Source organism: Homo sapiens, chromosome 5, assembly GCF_000001405.40.
Source record: "Homo sapiens chromosome 5, GRCh38.p14 Primary Assembly".
Taxonomy (NCBI): domain Eukaryota; kingdom Metazoa; phylum Chordata; class Mammalia; order Primates; family Hominidae; genus Homo; species Homo sapiens.
Window position 1 is genome coordinate 115737758 of NC_000005.10, and position 23649 is coordinate 115761406.

At 38.8% G+C, this 23649-nt stretch overlaps 1 long non-coding RNA gene across 1 annotated transcript; it reads left to right on the top strand.

Annotated features, from left to right (window-relative positions):
* Positions 1–1286: 1286 nt before the first annotated feature.
* Positions 1287–18786, top strand: LOC124901048 (uncharacterized). Its single transcript, XR_007058907.1, has 2 exons — positions 1287–1357; positions 17634–18786. It is a non-coding gene; the product is annotated as an uncharacterized LOC124901048 (long non-coding RNA).
* Positions 18787–23649: the final 4863 nt, after the last annotated feature.

Consider the following 23649-nt stretch of genomic DNA (forward strand, 5'->3'; position numbering starts at 1 on the left):
ACCCTTCTTTACAATGTATTGTCACCTCAAGTTACTACTCCAGCAACTTTCTTTCCCTACCAATCACCCTGTTAACAGAAAATCCTTAGCCAAATTAAATTAACAGAGTTTAATTAGACAAAGAACAATTCATGAATCAGGAAGCCTCTTGAACCAGAATAGGCTCAGAGAGATCCCAGCATAGCCACATGGTAGAAAAAGATTTATGGACAGAAAATGGAAAGTGACTTATGGAAAGTGACTTACAGAAAAGAGAAGTGAGGTACAGAAATAGCCAGATTGGTTACAGCTCAGCATTTGCCTTATCTGAACATAGTTTAAACAGTTGGCCCCCTTTTATTGGCCAAAACTGGGTGATTGGCACAAAAGTAGGTTATAGCCTATTTACATCTCCGTTTAAGTTATAGTTCACTATGTACAGAGAAACCTTTAGGCTGAACTTAAAATATGTGAGGAGGTAGTTTTAGACTAAACCTGATTTAAAAATTTTCCCCTTTTGGTCATCGTCTCTCAATTTTGGGAGATTGACCAAAACTTTAGTCATTGATGTCACTATCACCATTGTAAATGTGAGTATTTGGTCTCGAAATCCCCTAGGAAATAGCAGAACAGTGGGATTTGTAAGGTGGGAACAAGAACTTCAGGTTATATTTTTGTAAGGGTTAGAGTAGAGGGTACTTTCTTATGCTGAAATGTCCTGTTTACAGGAGAAAAACAAGACCTGGTCTCCTCTGGAATCTATTTCTTTAAAGCCTTAGTTTGATTATATCACATTTAGCATGAGTGTCTATTTTGGTTTGGTCTGATCTGTTGGGGCCTATTGCATGAGCTCAATCCAAAACAATGGCCTCCCATAATTTTGTTTAAAAAATTCTTCCCTTCTGGTCAAGTTCTCATTTAGTTGAGAGTATGACCAAAACTTAGGGCCTTAGTGCCACTCTTACTGTCATTTTGGGTTTTCAGTGTCAGCATATCATTCATAGGTTCCAGTGCCCTCATGGTCACACATTTCTTTCAGCTCGTCATTCCAGTTGAAAAGAGACAATTTGACATTCTAGAGATGGCTGCGTGCAAACATTTAAGGCTTTTAAGAGAATACAACACACCAGGGAGACTACTATGACTATCAGCAGAATAATACCAAGGGTTTGGAGTATGCTCTTTAGCTGGGATACCCATTAACCAAAGCAACTAAAATTAAACAGATCAAAGAATGAGCTGGGTAAACAGTCTATTTACTTTAACCAAGCAGTCTGTTCATTAATCCTCTATGACTGAATCCCCATAGTATACAATTTATTTCTCCATGGGCAACAAGACATGCCAGCAACTGCACGGCTACTTCTCCATTTAGCCAGTAAGTAATCTAGAGCAATTTTAATATTTAGCATAACTTTCACAACAGAATTTAAAGTCTGTTGTGTAACCACAGCCTTTACTATAGAATCTGCTAGAGATGCTATCATGAGAGATTAATTTTTAATCATTACCTAATTTACTCTAAATCATGAAAAAGAAGACCTAAAAATGACGCTCATCCAAAAGAATGAAGACGTCCTGGCAATTTTCTCTCTCTCTCTCTCTTTTTTTTTTTCTTGACAGGGTCTTGCTCGGTCACACAGGCTGGAGTGCAGTGGCACAATCTCGGCTCATTGCCACCTCTGTCTCCCAGGCTCAAGCAATCCTCCCAGCTCAGCCTCCTGAGTAGCTGGGACTACAGATGCATGCCACCGTGCCCGGCTAATTTTTGGTTAGAGACTGGATTTCACCATGTTGCCCAGGCTAGTCTAAAACTCCTGAGCTCAAGCAATCTGCTCACTTCAGCCTCCCAAAGTGCTGGGATTACAGGTGTGAGACACCACACCTGGCCTGACAATGTTCTCTTTAACCCATGATGTAGTTTAAGAGGAGCGGACCAAAGTTTCATTTCTGACTGATTATTAGGCAACAAATATGCCGTTAAAATTTCTTACCTACATTGTTCCTTCATCTTGCATCTATCGCAACATGAGCTTGTCCGTGTATAAGGCTGGCTGCAAAATCTTTCATAAATAGGAGTATACCCCATGAATACACACAACAGACCCCCTTTTCATTTCCATTGTTCACAGAGGCATAAGCACACATTGAAAGATACGAGTCTCATGATAGCAGAGAACTCTCAATCTGTGATTTTGGAAGAAAGCTGTCCACATCACGGATGCAATGCTTCTGGGAAGAAACTTCTCTGATTAGCTTTACTTTAAGGTTTCTAATGGGTGTACAGTTCCAAGAGTGTGGAGGGCCCTTCTGAGTTGTGAGATTATGAACCTTATGGTATCTCTATTTTTAGTTTCTTGAGGAACCTCCAAGTTGTTCTCCATAGAAGTTGAACTAATTTACATTCCCACCAGCAGTATACGAGGGTTCCCTTTTCTCCACACCCTCGTCAGCATTTGTTATTGTCTGTCTTTGGATATAAGCCATTTTAACTGGGGTGAGATATCTCATTATAGTTTTGATTTGCATTTCTCTGATGATCAATGATGTTGAGTAACTTTTCATATAACTGTTTACAATTTGTATGTCTTCTTTTGAGAAATGTGTATTCAAATATTTTGCCCATTTTTTGATCAGATTATTGGATTTTTTAGCTATAGATTTGTTTGAACTGCTGGTATATTCTGCTTATTAATCTCTTGTCAGATTGGTAGTTTGCAAATATTTTCTCCCATTCTGTGTATTTTCTCTTCACTTTGTTTATTGTATCATTTGCCGTGCAAAAGCTTTTTAACTTGATGTGATCCCATTTGTCCATTTTTGCTTTGGTTGTCTGTGCTTGTGGGGTATTGTTCAACAAATCTTTGCCCAGACCAATGTCCTGGAACATATCCCCAGTGTTTTCTTGTAGTAGTTTCATAGTTTGAAGTCCTAGATTTAGGTCTTTAATCCATTTTTATTTGATTTGATTTTAGTATATGACAAGAGATAGGGTCTAGTTTCATTCTTCTTCATATGGATATCCAGTTTTCCAGCACCATTTATTGAAGAGACTGTCTTTTCCCCAGCATATGTTCTTGGCAACTTTCTCAAAAATGAGTTCACTGTAGGTGTGTGGATTTGTTTCTGGGTCCTCTATTCTCTTAACTTTGAGCTATGTGTCTATTTTTATACCAGTACCATGCTGTTTTGGTTACTATATCTCTGTAGTATAATTTGAAGCGAGGTAATGTGATTCTTCTAGTTTTGTTCTTTTTGCTAAGAATAGCTTTAGTTATTCTAGGTCCACAAAAGTAGTTCCATATAAGTTTTAGGATTGTTCTTTCTATTTCTGTAAAGAATGTCATTGGCATTTTGATAGAGATTGCACTGAATCTGTAGATTGCTTTGGGTAGCATGGACATTGTAACAATATTGATTCTTCCAATCCATGATGATGAAATATCTTTCCATTTTTTGGTGTTCCCTTCAATTTCTTTCATGAGTGTTTTATTGTTTTCATTATAGAGATCCTTCACTTCTTTGGTTAACTTAATTCCTAGATATTTGCTTTTATCTGTGGCTATTGTTGATAGAATTACTTTTTAGTTTTTATTTTTTACATTGTTCACTCTTGGCATACAGAAATGCTCTGATTTTTGTGTGTTGATTTTGTATCCTGCAACTTTACTGAATTTGTTTATCAGTTCTAGTAGCTTTCTTGTGAAATCTTTAGGTTTAGCTTTTTTAAATACAAGATTATATCATCTGCAAAAAAGGACAATTTGGCTTCTTCCTTTTCAATTCACATGCCCTTTTTTCAATCTTCTCTGATTACTCTAACTAGGGCTTCCAGTACTATGATGAATAACAGTGGTGACAGTGGGCATCTGTGTTATGTTCCCAATCATAGAGGAAAGGCTTTCAGTTTTTCCCCATACAGTATGATACTATTTAATATCTGTGGGTCTGTCATATATGGCTTTTATTATGTTCCTTCTATCCCAATTTTTTGAGGGTTTTATTATGAAGGAGTGTTGAATTTTATCAAATGCTTTTTCAGCATCAATTGAAAAGATCAATTGATCATTTTTATCCTTCATTCTTTTGATATGATGTATTATGTGGATTTATTTTTTTATGTTGAATCATCCTTGCATGCCTAGGATAAATCCTACTTGGTCATGATGAATGATCTTTCTAATGTATTGTTGGATTTGGTTTAGTAGTATTCTGTTGAGGATTTTTGGCATCAATATTCATCAAAGCTATTAGTCTGTAGTTTTTTGTTTTATTTTGTTTCAATGTGTTTTTGGTTTTGGTATCAGGGTAATACTGGTCTCATAGAATGAGTTTGGAAGTATTACCTCTCCTCTATTTCTTGGAATAGTTTGAGTAGGATTGGTAACAGTTCTTATTTAAATGTTTGGTAGAATTCAGCGGTGAAGTCATCGGGTTGTGAGCTTTAATTTGCAGGGAGACTTTTTATTATGGCTTCAATCTCATTTCTTGTTATTGGTATGTTCAGGTTTTGGATTTCTTCCTGTTTTAATCTCAGTATGTTGTATGTATCTAGGAATTTGTCCATTTCTTTTAGATTTTCCAATTTATTGGCATATAGTTGCTCATAGTAGCCACTAGTAATCCTTTGACTTGCTGCAGTATCACTTGTAATGTCTCCTTTTTCATTCCTGATTTTATTTAATTGGATCATCTCTCTCTCTCTCTTTTTTTGTCTGGTGAAAGGTTTGTCAATTTTTTTAACTTTTCAAATAACAAACTTTTGTTTCATTGATGTTTTGTATTGTTTTCTTCATTTCAATTTCCTTTATTTCTGCTCTGATTTTCATTATTTCTTTTCTTCCAGTAACTTGGGGTTTAGTTTGCTCTTGCTTTTCTAGTTCTTTAAGATATTTATTTTAGATTGTTTATTTGACATTATGGCACTTATAGCTATAAAATTCCCTCAGAATTGCTTTTGCTGTATCCCATAGGTTTTGGTATGTGTGTTTCCATTGCTTGTTTCAAGAAATTTTTCAATTTCCTTCTTGATTCTTTCATTGACCCACTGGTCATTCAGGAGCACATTGTTAAATTTCTATGTATTTGTATAGGTTCCAAAATTCCTCTTGTTATTGATTTCTAATTTTGCTCCATTGTGGTCAGAGAAAATGCCTGATATTATTTCAATTTTTTTGAATGTTTTATTTTGTGACCTAATATATGGTCTATCCTTGAGAATTATCCATGTGCTGAGGAAAAGAATGTGTATTCTGCAGCCATTGGAGGAATGTTCTGTCAATATCTATTAGATCCATTTGGTCTATAGTGAAGATTAAGTCTGATGTTTCTTTGCTGATTTTCTCTCTGGAAGATCTGTCCAATGCTGAATGAGGGGTGTTGAAGTCCTCAGCTATTATTGTATTGGAGCCTATCTCTCTCTGTAGCTCTAATAATATTTGCTTTATATATCTGTGTGCTCCTGTGTTAGGCACATACATATATTTAAAATTGCTATATCCTCTTGCTGAATTGACCCCTTTATTATTATACAGTGAACTTCTTTGTTTCTTTTAATAGTTTTCTGTCTTCAAATCTATTTTGTCTCACATAAGTGTAGTGACACCTGCTCCTTTTTGATTCACACTGGCATAGATTTTTTCCATCCTTTTATATTCAGTCTATGTGTGTCTTTACAGATGAAGTGTGTTTCTTGTAGGCAACAGATCACTGGGTCTTGTTTTTTTCATCCACTCAATGAGTCTATGTATTTTGATTGGAGAGTTTAGTCTTTTTACATTCAATGTTATAATTGATAAGGACTTACTCCTGCCATTTTGTTATCTGTTTTCTGGTTGTTTTGTGGTCTCCTCTTCCTTCTTTCTTTCCTTCCTATATTCTTCTAGTGAAGGTAATTTTCTCTGGTGATATGATTTAGTTTCTTGCTTTTTATTTTTTGTGTACCCATTGTATGTTTTTTGTTTGTTTGAGGTTATCATGAGGTCTGCAAATACTATCTTATAACTCATCATTTTAACCTGATAAAAACTTAACACTATTTGCATAAATAAACAAGCAAAAAGAAAACTAATAAAAACTCTAACCTTAACTTCATCCCCTGACTTTTTAACTTTTTGTTTTTTTCTATTTATTTATAAATTTTTGTTCAGACCATGTCTTTAAAAGTTGTGGTAGTTATTATTTTTATTGGTTCATTGTTCAGTCTTTCTACTTAGGATAAGAGTAGTTTACACACCACAGTTACAGTGTTACAATACTCTGTGTTTTTCTATGTACTTACCAGTAAGTTTTGTATCTTCAGGTGATTATTTACTGCTCATTAATGTCCTTTTCTTTCTGATTGAAGTACTTCCTTTAGCATTTCTTGTAGGACAGGTCTGGTATTGATGAAATCCCTCAGCTTTCGCTTATCTGGGAAAGTCTTTATTTCTCCTTCATGTTTGAAGAATATTTTCACCAGTTATACTATTCTAGGGTAAAAGTTTTTTTTTTTCCTTCAACGCTTTAAATATGTAATGCCACCTCTCTCCTGGCCTGTAAGGTTTCCACTGGAAAGTCTGTTGCCAGATGTATTGGAGCTCCATTGTATGTTATTTGTTTCTTTACTCTTGCTGCCTTTAGGATCCTTTCCTTGTCCTTGACCATTGGGAGCTGGATTATTAAATGCCTTGAATTTATCTTCTTTGGGTGAAAACTTCTTGGTGTTCTACAACCTTCTTGTATTTGGATATTGATATCTTTTTCTGTGTTTGAAAAGTTCTTGTTATTATCCCTTTGCATTAAACTTCCTATCCCGATCTCTTTCTCTACCACTTCTTTAAGACCAATAACTCTTAAATTTGCCCTTTTAAGATTATTTTCTATAATATATTCTGTAGGCATGCTTCATTGTTTTTTATTCTTTTTTGTATTGTCTCCTCTGACTGACTATTTTCAAATAACCTGTCTTCAAGTTCACTAATTCTTTCTTCTGTTTATTTCTGCTATTAAAGGTCTCTAATGCATTCTTAAATATGCCAATTGCATTTTTCAGCTTCAGAATTTCTGCTTGATTCTTTTTAATTATTTAAATCTCTTTGTTAAATTTATCTGATAGAATTCTGAATTTATTCTCTGTCTTATTTTTAATTTCTCTGAGTTTCCTCTAAACAGCTATTTAGAATTCCTGTCTGAAAGGTCACATGTCTCTCTTTCTCCAGGATTGGTCCCTGATGAGTTATGCAGTCCCTTTGGTGTGGTCATGTTTTCTTTGGTAGTGTTGATGCTAGTAGATGTTCTTTAGTGTCTGGGCATTGAAGTTTATTGGAGTCTTCACCATCTTGGTTTATTTATAGAAGTTCTTCTTGGGAAGGCTTTCTAGATATTTGAAAGGACTTGGGTGTTGTGATCTAGGCTCTACCTGCTTTAGGGAGTACTGCAAATCCAGTAACACTGTGGTTCTTGCAGACTTGTGGAGGTACCACCTTGATGGTCTTGGACCATCCAGAATTCTCTGGATTACCAGGCAGAGACTCTTGTTCTCGTCCCTTACTTTCTCCCAAACATACAGGGCTTCTCTCTGTTCTGAGCTATCTAAAGCTTGGGGTGGAATAACACAAGGACCCCTGTGGCCACCATCACTATGACTGCACTGGCTCAGAACTGAAGGCAGCACAGTGCTGGATCTACCGTAACCACTCCCTGGCTACTCTCTATGTTCACTGATGGCCCCCAGGCTCTACAATTAACAGATGTCAAGGCCAGCCAGGCCTGTGTCCTTCCCTTCAGGGCAGTAAACTATCCCATGCCCCAGGTGGGTCCAGAGGTGCCATCCAGGAGTTAGGGACTACAGTCAAAAACCTTAGAAATCTACCTGGTGCTCTATTATATTGTGGCTGTTCTGGTGCTCAAACCACACAGTGCAGTTCTTCCCACTCTTCCGTGTTTTTTCCAAAAGCAGGAGACTCACCCCATAGCTACCACCACCCCAGGCCTTGAGGAGTACTGTAAGACTACTATTGATGTTCCCTTAAGGTCCAAGTTCTCTTAAGTCAATTTGTCATGAATGCTGCCTGGCCTGGGACTCACCTTTCAGGGAAGTGGGCTCCCCTCTGACCCTGGGCAGGTTCTAAAATGGTAAGACTCAAGTCGAGCTCTACCCCTCTGTGGCCATGCTGTGATACCTAAGGTATCAGACAAAGACCCCTTTACTTTTCCCTCTGCTTTTTTCAAGCAGAGGGAGTTTTCTCCCATAGCCACCACAGCTGGTATTGTGCTGAGTCTCATCTGAAGCCAGCAACTCTCAGAGGCTCACCCAAGGAACTCTATGTAGTACCTGGGTATCACTGCTGGTTATTCAGAGCCCAGGAGTTCTTCAATTAGCAGGTGATTAATGCTGCAGGACTGGGTCCTTTCCTTCAAGGCAGTGGGTTCCCTTCTGGCTCAGGGTGTGTCTAGAAATGTCATCTGGGAGCTAGGGCCTGGAACAAGGACCTGACAACTCTGATTGGTACTCTATCCTGCTGTGGCTGGGCTGATATTTAAGATGCAAGACAAGGTCCTCCCCACTCTTCCCTCTCCTATCCTCAAGCATAAGGAAGGAGTCTTTTTTGGAGCCATGAGCTGTGCAGCCTGGGGTTAGGGAATGGGTGATGCCAGCACTTCCTTGCCTGTCCCAGCTGATGTCTCAGTATGCCATGTGCCCTCCCCGGTACATGATCTCTTAGCCTACTTCAACACTAGGACTCACTTAAGAATATCAGTCCTTATGGCCTAGACTGCCTTTCAAGTTTTCTGGTATACACAGAGTGCTGTAGCCCTTGGTGGAGAGGTTTGCAGGCACTGGGATTAACGATTCCCCTCTGGCTGGGGCTGGTTTAAATGTTCCCTCCATGGGTGGGCTCCAGCTGAGTTTAGTTTGGTTTTCCTTTCTGTTCAAACACAGCACTGAGTTCAATGCCTCACAATTGCTGTGTTCTCCCTCCCTAGCTGGAGATGATCTCCACACCACACCGCTGCTGCCAGAGGGAGCATGGAGGGATGGTGTCAGCAATTTGGGACTGTTTTTTCTATCTCTTTAGTGCCTCTTTCAACAATATGAAGTTAAAACCAGGTACTGTGAGTGCTCATCTGATTTTTGGTTCTTATGAAGATGTTTTTTTTTTCTGTGTAGATAGTTGTTAACTTGGTGTCTTTGCACGGGGTTGCAATCTGTGGAGCTTTCTATTTCGCCACCTTGCTCCACCTTGCTCCAACTCTAGTTTTCTTTGATTGAAGCATTTCCTTCTCTTATTTTCCTGAAGCTTACCATCCAGGAAAAGACTCTCAAGATTCAGTGCATTCTCTTTGGCTTTGTCTCTGTCATTTCCCTCAAGAGTTATCCATTTTGTGGCTTCACTGTGCATTGTTTAGGTGTGTTTTTACAAAGGGATTATTTCCCCAATTTGCATTCCAACCTCCAGTAGCCATTGGTCATATCTACATAGATAAGCCATTTAGACCTGAAACTTCATCAGTTTTAAACCAAACTCAAGACCTAACTAATTTATATGCCTCATTTTATTTATATGAATGGTGTCATCATTTCTAGCTACACAAGCTCAGAGTCTCCAAGTTATCCTTGTTTTCTCCTCTCCCTTAACACCTGAGCACTAAACCGTAAGCCAAAGGCAGTTCTCAGGATCCAGCAGTGAGTGAGAGGAGAGTACTGCAAGATATTTTTGGTTACAATTTAGTGACATTTTTATGCCCTGATGATATTCTAGATACACCACAGCCAAGCTACTAGGTTAAGTTTATGCCTGTTCTTCATATCCCCTTTCTTCTCATTTAATTTTCTTTTGCATCCATATCTCCAGTTTTCTTTGAATTCCTTTCCTAGCTCTTTCTTTCTTTGTTTTATCTTTCTCTTTTATTGGTAATCAATCATATTTTTTAAAAGTATTATATTCCCTTTGTCTCTCCCCATCAGCATTAATTTATTGAACAATACCTATTCAATCCTATCTACTTCTCTATCTCTCTATCTATCTCACATCATACTTCATTGGTACTCATTTTCATCATCTTTCTTAATCTTAAAACCATTCCAAAGGAACAAAGACCATTGTATGGCAGACAGGCCCGATAGCAGTAACTTCAGCACATCCTGAAAATGACCCTATGGTCTAAGAAGAATTTGCTCAGTGTCCCAATCTAAGGAATCTAGGAGTGGCCAATCCAGATTCACTCCTTATCTATGAAGGACATCTGAGCCCCTGGCTCATCCCTTGCAATGCAGGCCACACAGGGGATCAAAGCCGTTTGTTTTGGTTAGATTGCGGTAGCTAGGTGGAGGGTGCTAAGTGAAAATGCTATATAAACTGTCTGCTTTTTATAAACGGTAGCGGTTTGCCTGACCAGCCTGCCACCAAAGGCCCATACCTGTATGTAAATCCCCCCAGTAAACCCTATGTCTTGTTCACTGTCTCTTCTTCATCTTCTCAGACATAGTGTCATCCCTACTGGAGTCAATAGGGGTCCAATACAACAACCATTTCCATGTTATTCATTATTTTATCTTGTATCCCATGGTGCCAAGCACTTAGTAGGTGTTCAGTAAGTGTTTGTTAAAGGAAAAAAGGATGGGAGGGAGGGGAGAAGGGAAGAGGAGAATTTGGCTCCCCACTTTGCAGATAGGCAACTAAGACAACAGTCATACAGCCAATTAGTGATGGAGTCAGATTTCTACTCCCCATCTGGTTAAAGTCCAAACCTGTAATAAGGACACTGCTCTTCTGTGTCCCCCACTCTATACTAGGTGCTAAAGGAGAAGACACATATGTAAAAGACAAAGGTTCTGCCCTCCAGGACTATATAATTTAGTAAGGGAGTTAACTACATGAATAACTATAATATAAGTTAGGATATAATTATGGGTCCACAATCTCCAAAATGATTTGTTCAGTATCTAGCTTCTGGGTAAATAATTTTAATGTGTAACAGAATAAAACAAGTTAGTAAACAGTCTCCATATAGAAGGTTCTCCTTTCCCCTGGAGCCTTGTGGTTGCCCTTAAGAACAAGAATCTTAAAATTTAAACAAAGAGGACACTCTCTAACACAAGTCAGATCCAGAGGCTCAGGTTAATGAAGATGCCTGTATAGTTCCGAGACTGACAACAGATTCAAAGTCCTGAGAAACAATTCTTCACTGCTGGCTCATAAAAGCCAAAATAGTGTCATTAAAATGTGATGTAGTTTATTATCTTTCATAAGTTGGCTCAAAAGAGGAAACTTCTTTATGGCTTGGAAAAGATAGAAAGTGAATTCATTTTTAAAAGACTAGAGTAGACAAATAATGTAGTCTCTCGTGCATACCACACCATCTAATTCTCAATACAGTTCCTCCTTTAAGGAAAAATAAATATGAGTATTTATATAGTTCCAGGAAGTATCTTTCTATTACAGGGATGGTGGCTCATGGAACCAAAAGGAAAATATGAGTCACTTGCAAGGGACCTGGTTGAAAAGCTACAGGTTGAGACTTGTTTGTTGATAGGAGTATTTGTGACACCTATGATTTGGACCAAGTGTTTACTCTGAGGATTGAGACCTTGTAATAAGATGAGATTTATATTTCTCCCAGAGTATTAGTAAGGAGATAAGTAAAGATCTCTCTAAGTTCCTTGGAGCACTCCTATTTTATCTTTTCCTCCTTTGGCTGTTGTTTTTCCTTCTGTTAATTTTCAGCAATCTTTTTTTAAAGTGGCCATTTTTTTCAATAATTGCAACTTGGAGGGTTAGATCTGTCCAGAGGTTTATTGGGTATATTTTGGCAGTCCAGACTGGGTGAGTAATTATTTCAGCTGCAGATTCATAATCTTCTTAGCTTTATTTTTTGGTCTAGTCTCTTTCCCTTTTTCATTTTTAATTAAAGTACAAGACAACTTTTCAGCAAGATTAATCAAATTGTGAGTGTGAGAAGTAGCCCAGCTAGGGCAATGTCTCTTTACTATTAGAGCTAATTTTTTGCGTAGCCCATTTATAAACTTGGAGTTCAGGAGAGTCTCATTTTGATGATTAGCAGAACTCACCTCAGATAAACCTGAATATTGTCTAAAAGTCTTTTCAAATCTTTCAAAATATAACACCACTGACTCACCTAGATGTTGTTGACATCGCTGTATTTTATTCCAATCAACTCCCTTTTAGAAGACTAAAGAAATGGTTGCAAGTAGAGCCTTTCAGTGTCACGGGCATTCCTGCAGTCTTCTTTTGAACATTTATGGAAATCCTCTAGGGGTTTTGCCAACGGGCTTTATCTATTCAAGCCTCATTTTTAGCCTTGTTTTTGAAGCTAACATGTAAACTAGTTGATATAAATCAGAAATACCAGGGTCATAAGCTCAAATACTTAAATTCCATAGCAGGGCAAGGTAATTTAGACAGTAAAGGATAGAGACAAAAAGGACCCGAGGGAGGAGAAGGGAAATCTTCTGAGGGAGGAGAAGCTTCAGCAACCATTTTAAATTCAGAAATTGTTTTAGACAGTCTTCTGGGTTTTTTTTCCTGCAAAGAAATAACTTTATCAGAACCTCTTTTGGATGCATTCAAATACCATTGAAAATGACATTCCCAATTACTCTGTTTTATTCTAGTCAGCTTTTTTAAATTTGAACTTGCAAGTAAATTAGTTGAAGTTTTTCAAAGGTATCCCATTTCAGCCATTGAAGTTTTGGTTCTTCCAAGTTATATGGGACCATTTTTAAAAATAATGACAAGGTGTGGTGCCGTAAGTATTGTACATGAATCTAGCTGGAGTCTCTAAAGGTGGATTTTTCCTCAAGGAAGACTTGGTTTTAGATGGCTGATTGTCCATCATTTGCACTTTTCTCTTAAGGACTAAAAGCTAAAAGGGAAAGGTGTTTTGGACTGAGTGTACTGCTTAAGGGACTAGCTCCCCAAGGTGTCACCCTTGGGTTGGTTCTTCCCTTTTATGTGTCTCAATGAAAAACAGGAATTCAGTGTGCTTAAGGCACTGGGAGATCAGTCCCTTATATGTGCCCACAAGTTTAAGCAAATTTCCCTGTATTTTCTTCTTTGGGAATTCCCTGTGGGACCATTTCTTGTCTCGATTGATAAGCTCTGAAACTTGCACAAGTCCTTGGTTGCCTAAGGTGCCTTTGGCTGGGAGGAACAGTGTCCCTTTTCTTCAGGACTTACCACATCCTAATAAAGGTCTTTTGTTAATTATTGGTCACTCAAAAGAAGAATTCTAATTTGCCAAATTGAACCAAACTTCAAAACCTCACCAATTTAAATCACAATTTTGCTTAATCCATAGACATTTACTTTCTCCTATTAAAGAGAAACCAGATTTTGAACTAGAGAAAAGGTTGCAAACTTTAGCAAGTAAGACGAACAAAATCTTAACCTCAAAGATGATTAAAACCACAAACTTGCAAACAACAGAATCTCTAGAGAGATAAAAAAATGAAACTACTACCTTAAAGCTTTAAAGTTAAGCTTCAATTCCAGCTCCATCCGGTATGGAATCAGGTTGCTTGAATACAGTCTGCATTTCACCTAAGCCAGGGAGATTTGAAACCAGAGAGGAGCCTTACCAAGGGCTTCCCACAAACTCCAGCAAAAGTCAGTTGGATGGAAACAGTTCATGCTGGTACCAGCATGCTGGACTGTAAAGAAAGCAGAAAGAGTCAATGTAGGAAGCTCACTATGGGTCCCATCTGGGTCACCAAAATGTCAATCTGAAATAACGGAAAGGATAAGAATCTAGTTTAAATGAGTTTATTCAAGTGCAAAACTGAGGATGGCCATTTGGAAAATACAGACTCCAGAGAAATGGGGTCAGTGCTCAGAAATTGAAAAGGCAAGGTTTTACTTATATCAGCAGAAAACAAGGATATTTAACAGGATTATATTTCCATACAAGGCTGGTTTATGAGTTACAGCAATTTGATTTGTTATAGCTTGTTCCCCTCCCCACCCCCACCATTTTAAAGAGTATATTTAACATTCCATCTTAGACAATGTGATAATCATGACGTCTTTGCGTTAAGAGAAGAAAGAGGGAAATTAATCTACAATGAAGATCAATAGTTAAGAGTAAATGAGTCATTTCTGGAAACTTTAGTCTTTAAAAACATTTTACAAAATAATATAGGTAAAGGAAAAGGCTAATGTATAACCAGAGAAAAAGAGGTTACAGCTGCCTAGGTTATATACGTCTGTTACATGACTCAAATCCCATAATCACATTCCATTAAGGCCTAAAATAATTTAAAATTCCAACAGCTTTTATTTTATTTTTCTAACTTTTATTTTAGGTTCAGGGGTACATGTGCAGGTTTGTTATATAGGTAAACTGCATGTCACGGGGGTTTGGTGTACAGATAATTTCATTACCCATGTGATAAGCATAGTACCCAATAGGTATTTTTTTCTGATCCTCTCCCTCCTCCCACCCTCCACTCTCAAGTAGGCCTTCGATGTCTCTTGTTTCCCTCCTGGTATCCATGTGTTCTCGTTGTGTAGCTCCCACTTATAAGTGAGAACATGCAGCATTTGATTTTCTGTTCCTGTGTTAGTTTGCTTAGGATAATCGCCTCCAGCTGCATCCATATTGCTGCAAAGTACATGATCTCATTCTTTTTATGCCTACATAGTATTCCATAGGGTGTGTGGGTGCCTGTGTGTGTGTGTGTGTGTGTGTGTATACACACACCACATTTTCTTTATCCAGTCTATCATTGATGAGTATTTAGGTTGATTCCATGTCTTTGCTATTGTGAATAGTGCTGCCGTGAACATACACATTCATGTGTCTTTATGGTAGAACTATTCATATTCCTTTGGGTATGTAGCCAATAGTGGAATTGCTAGGTCAAATGGTAATTCTGTTTTAAGTTCTTTGAGGGATTGCCACACTGCTTTTCACAATGGCTTAACTAATTTACACTCCCATCAACAGTGTATAAGTGTTCCCTTTTTTCTGCAACTTTGCCAGCATCTGTTGTTTTTTGACTGTTTATAATACCAATTCTAACTAGTGCAGGATGGTATCTCATTGTGGTTTTGATTTGTATTTATCTAATAATTAGTGATGTTGAGTATTTTTTCATATGCTTCTTGGCTACATGTATGTCTTCTTTTGAAAAGTACCTGATAATGTCCTTTGCCCACTTTTTAATGGGTTGTTTGTTTTTTGCTTGTAAATTTGTTTAAGTTCCCTATAGAGTCTGGATATTAGAACTTTTTTGGATGCATGGTTTGCAAATATCTTCTCCCATTATGTAGGTTGTTTACTTTGTTGACAGTTTATTTTGCTGTGCAGAATCTTTAGTTTAATTAGATCCCATTTGTCAATTTTGGCTTTTGTTGCAATTACTTTTGGTGTCTTTGTCATGAAACATTTGTGAAGTCCTTCCTGTGTCCAGAATGATATTTCCTAGATTATCTTCCAGGGTTTTTATAGTTTTAGATTTTACATTTAAGTCTTTAATCCATCTTGAATTGATTTTTGTATGTCATATAAGCTAGGGGTCCAGTTTCAGTCTTCTGTGTATGGCTAGCCAGTTGTCCCAGGATCATTTATTGAATGAAGAGTTCTTTCCCCATTGCTTGTTTTTGTCAAGCAATGTGGAAGATCAGATGGTCATAGGTATGTGGCGTTATTTCTGGGCTCTCTATTCAAAGTATACTTCAAATACTTTCATGCTGTTTTGGTTACTGTAGCTCTGTACAATAGTTTGAAGTATACTTTGAAGTATAGTTTGTAGCAATGTGATGGCTCAAGATTTGTTCTTTTTGGTTAGGATTGCCTTGGCTATTCAGGCTTTTCTTTTATTCCATATATTAAAATAATTTTTTAAAATTATGTGAAGAATGCCATTGGTAATTTGAAGGGAATAGAATTGAATCTATAAATTGCTTTGGACAGTATCGCCATTTTAACAATATCGATTCTTCCTATCCATAAGCATGAAATGGCTTTACTGTGGAAGAAATGTGGATTAGATCAGGGGTACCCATTCCCCAGGTCATAGACTGGTATCAGTCCATGGCCTGTAAGGAACTGGGTCACACAGCAAGAAGTGAGCGGCAGGTGAGCATTACCACTTGGGTTCCACCGCCTGTTAGATCAGCGGCTGGCATTAGATTCTCATAGAAGCACAAACCCTATTGTGAAGTGCCAGGGATCTAGGCACTCCTTATGAGAATCTAACTAATGCCTGATTATCTGAGGTCGATCACCCTGAAGCCATCCCTCCACTCTAGTCTGTGGAAAAATTGTCTTCCACAAAACTGGTCTCTGATGCCAAAAAGATTGGAGACCACTGGATTAGATTCACACCTTCCCTGAGGTTTTCTTCTTCATGTTTCTATGTGCCTCTAGACTTCTGTGTACTTGTGTGCTGATCTTGTTTTATCTTATAAAACCCAGATGTAAAAACTCAGTCCTTTCACAATAAATTCATTCCCAGCAAGCCCTTTGTGAGTTTTTGCTGACTTCTCTGAGGGTTTGAGGATCATTCGGGCTTCCACCATCCCAATAGCTGTTCAGCCTTTCTCCTGCCTGATTTTTTGAAAGCTTTGGTGCTAGCCAATGCCTGGCCCTGAGAGGAGTGTAAATAGAATAAAAGAATAAGATTTTCTCTTTATCATTAGATTTGTGTATGTATAGCTATGTATGCTCATATGTGTGTGTGTATATATACATATATATAGAGAGAGAGAGTGTGTGTGTGTGCATGTGTGCGTGTGTGTGTGTGTGTGTGTTTGCTATTTCCCCTGGATATTTAAAAATTCAGGAAGCTATTATTCAAAAGTTAACAGTGGCTACCTCCACACAGTAAAAGCTCAGGTAACTTTTATATTCTTATTCATACTTTTCTGAATTTTCTGGAATTTTTACGAGCATGTACTACTATTATAAGAGAAAAAATAAAGCTCAGTTTTTTTAAACAAGACTGGGAAACATAGGGAGACCCCATCTCTAAGAAAAAAAATTAGCCAAGTGTGGTGGCAAATGCCTGTGGTCCTAGCTACTCAAGATGCTGAGGTGGGAGGATCACTTGAGCCCAGGAGGTCGAGGCCGCAGTGAGCTATGATTCACATCACTGCACTCCAGCCTGAGTGAGAGGGAGACCCTGTCTCAATCAATCAATCAATAAACACAGAAGCAAAGTACTGAAGATAATGCTGTATATTTCTGGATCTATCCACACTTGTTCTGCAGAAGCCCAGCCCCTTCAAATTCACCCAAAATTGTTTTTGAAGTCTGTTGGGGGTGTCCCATGTGTATGAAACCAGCTCTTTTGTCTACCTCCCTGGTCTTCCATTTCCATCCTCTCCTACAGTGATGCCCCCTGCCAGTGCCCCATGGGGCAGCTCTCTTCACATGGCCATGCTAGTGAGGAGTGCTCCTCATTCCTGCTGGTGAGTGCCTGCCAGCATCTCAGGCAAGGGACTGGAGTTCTTACAAGACTACCATCCCCTACCTGGGCCCAAACTGACCTTCTTCTATTATTTCTCTTTTGCAGCTATCCCAGAGAATTCTGCCACCTTCCAGAGCCAACTGTTTTCCCCTTTCTCTGCGTTTGATAGAAAAGAAAGATAAGAAATAAATAGGGCTTAATTTCCCAAACCATTTATGTAGTTTTTCCTCCTTTTCAGGACAGAGAATAAAGGGTCCCTGTATTCATGCCTTCCTGGAAATCTCAGTGCAAGGCCCTATCAGGAGGTTTCCTGGAGCAGCTAAGGGAACAGCTAGACCACCCAGGAAGAAATGACAGAAGCCTACCTGACTTCCAATCTGCTTGCTTCATGGTGTAATGGGGGCCTAGACAGAAGCACCCCAAGGACACTTACAACAACTGTTCTGCCAGCTCTAGTCCATTGGAGAAGATGTGCCAACATACCTTCTCACCATCCCTAGAGCCCAACCTTGCTATGGAAAGGTCAAACCCTTACCATTGGCCCTGCCAAGGATCCCCAGACAGAGAAGCACAATGGAGGCCATAAATTATGGCTTCTTATCATGGCCTCCACATAACTTAAACTCTGGATGGTGAATGAAATCTGGGGCCAAGTCTTAAAGGGTCAGGGTAGCCAATGAGCATAACTCAATATTTGTGTTTCTAAGAGAAAACCACAGAACCTCCATATCCATGGCAAACTGGCCAGCCACAGGCTGGATCCAGTGTGCAGTAGTGTTTTGTGTACACCATTCACTATTTGTCTACTTGGGTTAAAAATGTTTTATATTAGTTAGCAATGTTTAAACATTGGGAGAATTAAAGGGAAATGAAAACGTACTTCCCACAAATACTTGCACATAAATATTCACAGCAGCATTGTTTATAATTGCCCAAAACTAGAAACAACCCAAATATCCATCAACTGATGAATGATAAACAAGTTGTGGTATATTCATCCAATAAAACAATATTCAGCAATAAAAATAAACAAATCAGGCACTTAATATAATTGAATATCAAGGTCATTATGTTGAGTGAAAGAGGCCAGAAAATAAAAGTATACACTATTTGATTCCATTTATATAATATTCTAGAAAATGAAAACCAGTCTATACTTACAGAAAACAAGGTGGTAGCTTACAGAGATGGGGTAGAGGGAGGGAGAGATGACAGAGAGGCATAAAAAAACTTTCCGGACAATGAAAATGTTCTGTATTTTAATTGTGGTGATGGTTTCATGGATGTACAAGTTCATCAAATCTCATCAAGTTAAATATATGCATTTATTTTATATTAAGTGTACCTCAATAAAGCAGAAAAATTTAAAATTGGTAATATTTATATACAAATTGAGATATCTATATTTCTTGAAAATCAAAATGTCTGACATCATTTGGTCTACATATTTATCTGCCAAAAATACAGGAGATAGACAGTAGCTGTCCTTTAGAAGGGGCATACCCTTTCGAGTTTGCAACAGGCCTTCATACTTCCTGCTGCTTACCCAGCATTCATTACATGTTTATTGTCATTTATTTAAGTTACTTATTGTGAACCTAATGCATGTATGGCCTCATTCTAGGTACTGGAGACTAAACATGCAAACACACCTAACTGGCATGGTTTCCATTTGCCTAATTGTCACGGGGTACCATGAAGTTTACATTTTAGTGAGATTGGAGAAAGATAGACATTTAGAGTTAATAAGTTGGATAAATAGTATATTAGGTGGAAAGAAGTATAAGAAAAAAACATACAGCCAGGAAGAAGTATAGACAGTTCCAGAGCTAAAATGTTAGCCATGGATCCCAGGAAGTCCTCACTGAAAGGTGACTTTGGGAGGAAACCTGTAGAAGGTGAGGAATTGAGCTATGCATATAACCCAGGGAAGAGCATTCTAGACAGACATGACAGTCCATGAGAAGATTCTAGGCAAGGGAGGTAGCCCAGGGTCTTCAACCAACAGCAAGGAGGCTAATCTAGCTTGGCACAGAGTAACAAGAGATGAGATCAGAGAAATAACAGGGTAGAGATGGTGTGGAGTCTTATAGATTATTGAAGGGAGTTTGTCATTTACTGGATGAAATAGGAAGCCTTTGGAGGGTGTTGTTAATTGTAATCATGATAGGGTTATTACTTTTCTTATAGTAGAGTTCAAAAGAAAGGAAAACTTATTTTTGTAACCAGGTCATTAACCTGGCCCCTGTAGACATCTGAGTTTGTAATTTCTGTCATATTTTATCTAAATATCATGATAGAGAACAAAATATCTGACTGGTTCTGTACTGATAGGCAGTCAGTCATGCTGGCTAACTTTCAGAAATATGCCATGTTTGGTGGTCTCCTTTCTCTCTGTTTTCTCTAGGTTGAATATGGGGATTCAACCACATCACTTCACTCTCTCACCCCTTATAGCACACGCTTCTCTCCCTTTCCTTGGCATCCCCTGGCCCTATCATGACCTGAGGTCTTCCCTACCACTTTGGGGGCTCCCATCTAAAAATGCATTCTAAGTCCTCTACCTGGAACTAATTTATCTCCAGGTCTACACTACTGATAACAAGATATACGATCCCTTGCAAAGGAACTTGTAACACCCTGAAATTACTCAGAAATCACACCTCACAGGAGATTGAGACCATCCTGGCTAACACGGTGAAACCCCGTCTCTACTAAAAATACAAAAAATTAGCCAGGCGTGGTGGTGGGCGCCTGTAGTCCCAGCTACTCAGGAGGCTGAGGCAGGAGAATGGCATGAACCCAGGAGGAGGACCTTGCAGTGAGCCGAGATCGCGCCACTGCACTCCAGCCCGGGCGACAGAGCAAGACTCCGTCTCAAAAAAAAAAAAAAAAAAAGAAAGAAAAGAAATCACACCTCACAGGCAAACTCTGTAAGTGGGCTCCTGTAGGAAAGCAGCCTGTTGCATGGCAAGAAAAATGCCATCTTGAAGTGAAATCGTCATTAATTCCTGCATATCCAGGCATTCCCACAGCAAGGTCAAGAAACAATGCCTATATCATAGATAACTTCTCATAAAGATGCTTCTCTAACTTCCCCAGTGGTCATGAATGTCATAAGAGGGTCTGAGACGTGACCAGCAGCGCATGTCTTACCAAAAAAAAAAGCTTGCTACAGAAAGGATATTTTCTGGAGTGCCGAGTGTGGGGATCCATCATCTTGTGGCTACCCAAAGCATGGCTTCTGTTTGTTACGTCCCTACTAAATGTTTCTTTCTGGGAAACTGAATTTGTCAGCCTCTTTCTTTGGCCTGTCAGCTCTCTTGGCTTTCGGGGGTAGATCTGCATATACCTACTCACCCAGAACATTTGGTGAGTCAGTCAGGAGCTAAGAGGCCAAGAGACAGGAAAGGGGAATGAAGCATCTGTACGGGAAATCCCAGGCCAGCCACGTCTATGTGGGATGGTGTGGCACGTCTGTTAGATGCATTTGGACTCTGTGTGACTATGGAGACACCCTGAACAAGCTGGTTGGCCTAGAGTGGTTATTAACTGAAAGGCATATGGTGCAGTGTGGTAAGGAAGGGCAGTGGATAGCCACTGCAGTGGGTTGGCTGCTTCTGTGGGCCATTTGTTTGTCAACACAGGTTTAGCTAGCAATAGAAATGAAAAGCAAATGGCTAGAGGAAAATTGCACCAACCTGATAGAAAAGGACATGTGCCTTTTCACTTCTCTGATTGCGTCCAGTGTAGCTACATGTTTTACCAAAAAAAAAAAGAAAAAAAAAAAGCCTGCTATAGAAAGAATATTTCAGGAGGGTAGGTGTGGAAATCTATGGTCTCTCAGCTGCCCAAGGCATTGCTTCTGTTCATAGGTTCCTATCAAATGTTTCTTTCTGAGAAACTGGATTTGTCAGCCTCTTTTCTCTGGCTTCCCAGCTTCCTTGGCCTTTGAGGGGGAGACCTGCATATATCTGTTCACTGCAGAACAGCCCCATACATGAAATGAATTTTGAGATTAGAGGAAGAAGTTTCATTTATAAGCCCAAAGCAAACAATTAGGAAAAAAAATTATGCTCAGGAAGTTAGGGACTAAGAACTAACCTAATTACAGGGCTAAAGAAGGAAATTTGGCCAAAATAATCTGACAGAATGCAATTTCAACAAAGGCAAATTAAACCAAGGTAAGTCACTCCATGTACATTTGTGTCTAAATTAATATCCCTAGTCACAAATAACAACTTAAACTTATAGAAGTAGTTGATGAAACCAGCTGACACAGAGAGCCATGTATCAATCTTGATTATAGAACCTTCTGGAGATCATGGTTATTTCAAAATATATGGACACTGAGGGTGCATCAAAAGGGCTAAAAGATTATGGCTAGAAGATAAAATAGATGTGTCTCTCTATTCCTTTCTCTAGATATAGCTAAAATCTCTGGACATCATACATAAACATAAAAATACTCGGAAAGGTGGAGACAAAAAAACAGGTCAGTTAGGGACTTTGAAACCTTAAAAAACAGCATGGCACTGAGGTCTCTAGATTTCCTCGTGCCTTATATATTTCATACTGGATGCTAGAGAAGCCTGCAACCCAAAATACCAACATACACTGATAAAAGAAAAAAAAGCCCCAAGAAAACCAAGGAAGGGTCAAAGGGTCAGCCTAGTGAAAAAGAAAAAATCATCTAATTAATTCAATTTTTAAAAAATAATTTCAACTTTTATTTTAGATTCAAGGAATAAATGTGTAGGTTTGTTTCCTGGGTATACTGTATGATGCTGAGGTTTGGGGTATGATTGACCCTGTCACCCAGACAGTGATCATAGTACCCAATAGCTTTTCAACCCTTGCCCTCCCCCTTCCCTTGCCCCTTTAGCGGTCTCCAGTGTCTATTGTTTCCATATTTATGTCCATGAGTATCCACTGTTTAGCTCCAACTTATAAGTGAAAAGATGTGGTATTTGTTTTTCTGTTTCTGTATTGATTAGCTTATGATATGGTTAGGCTCTGTGTCCCCACCCAAATCTCATCTTGAATTTTAATCCCCATAATCCCCATATGTTGAGGGTGGAACAGGTGCAGATAATTGAATCATAGGGGCAGTTTCCTCTATGCTGTTCTTATGATAATGAGTGAGTTTTCATGAGATCCAATGGTTTTATAAGGGGCTTCCCCTCTTCACTTGGCACTCACTCCATCCTGCCACCCTATGAAGAAGGTGCATGCTTTTCCTTTGCCTTCTGCCATGATTGTAAGTTTCCTGAGGCCTCCCCAGCAATACGGAACTGTGAGTTAATTAAATCTCTTTCCTTTATAAATTACCAAGTCTCAGGTATTTCTTCATAGCAGCATGAGAATGGACTAATACAGCTTAGGATAATGGCCTTCAGCTGCATCCATGTTGCTACAAAGGACATGATTTTCTTCCTTTCTATGGCTACATAGTATCCTACGGTACATATATACCACACTTTCTTTATGCAGTCCACCATTGACGGGCACCTAGGTTGATTCTGTGTCTTTGCTATTATGAATACTGCTACAATGTACAAACAAGTACATGTGTCTTTTCGGTAGAATAATTTATTTTCTTTTGAATATATACCCAGTAATGAGATTGCTGGGTCAAGTGGTAGTTCTAAGTTCCTTGAGAAATCTCCAAAGTGCAGAAATAAAATTTTTGACAATAACCACCCAACTCCAGCCAAACATTAGGAGGAAAACTGTAGCCCTGTCCTGATCCCATCAGCAAAGGCCAAGTGGGAACGCTATACTTCCACCTTTACCCAGATGTAATGAGGTGCTCTCTTTCCTCCTGAGAGTGCCAATGAAAGCTGCACTGGGAACCTAAACCTCTACCCCCATGTGGCAGTTATGGGGCAGCACTTTCCTTTCCATGCTGATGTGGTTTCAGATGAGGCTTGCTGAAACAGAAAATTTAAACAAGATCCAGAGTCTTCTGACTTAATGCCTCAAATGTCCACAATATTAAAGTTTACTCATCACACCAAAAACCAAAAAAAAACTCAATGTGAATGAGAAAAGACAATAACCAGATGCTGTCTTAGTCTATTTTGTGCTGCTACAGCTGATCACCGACTGGGTAATTTATAATAAACAGAAATTTATTGGCTCATGGTTCCAGAGGCAGGGAAATCCAAGATCAAGAGGCCAGCATCTGGCGAGGGCTTTCTTGCTATGTCATCCCATGGTGGAAGAGCAAAGAGAGAATAAGAGAGGGAGAG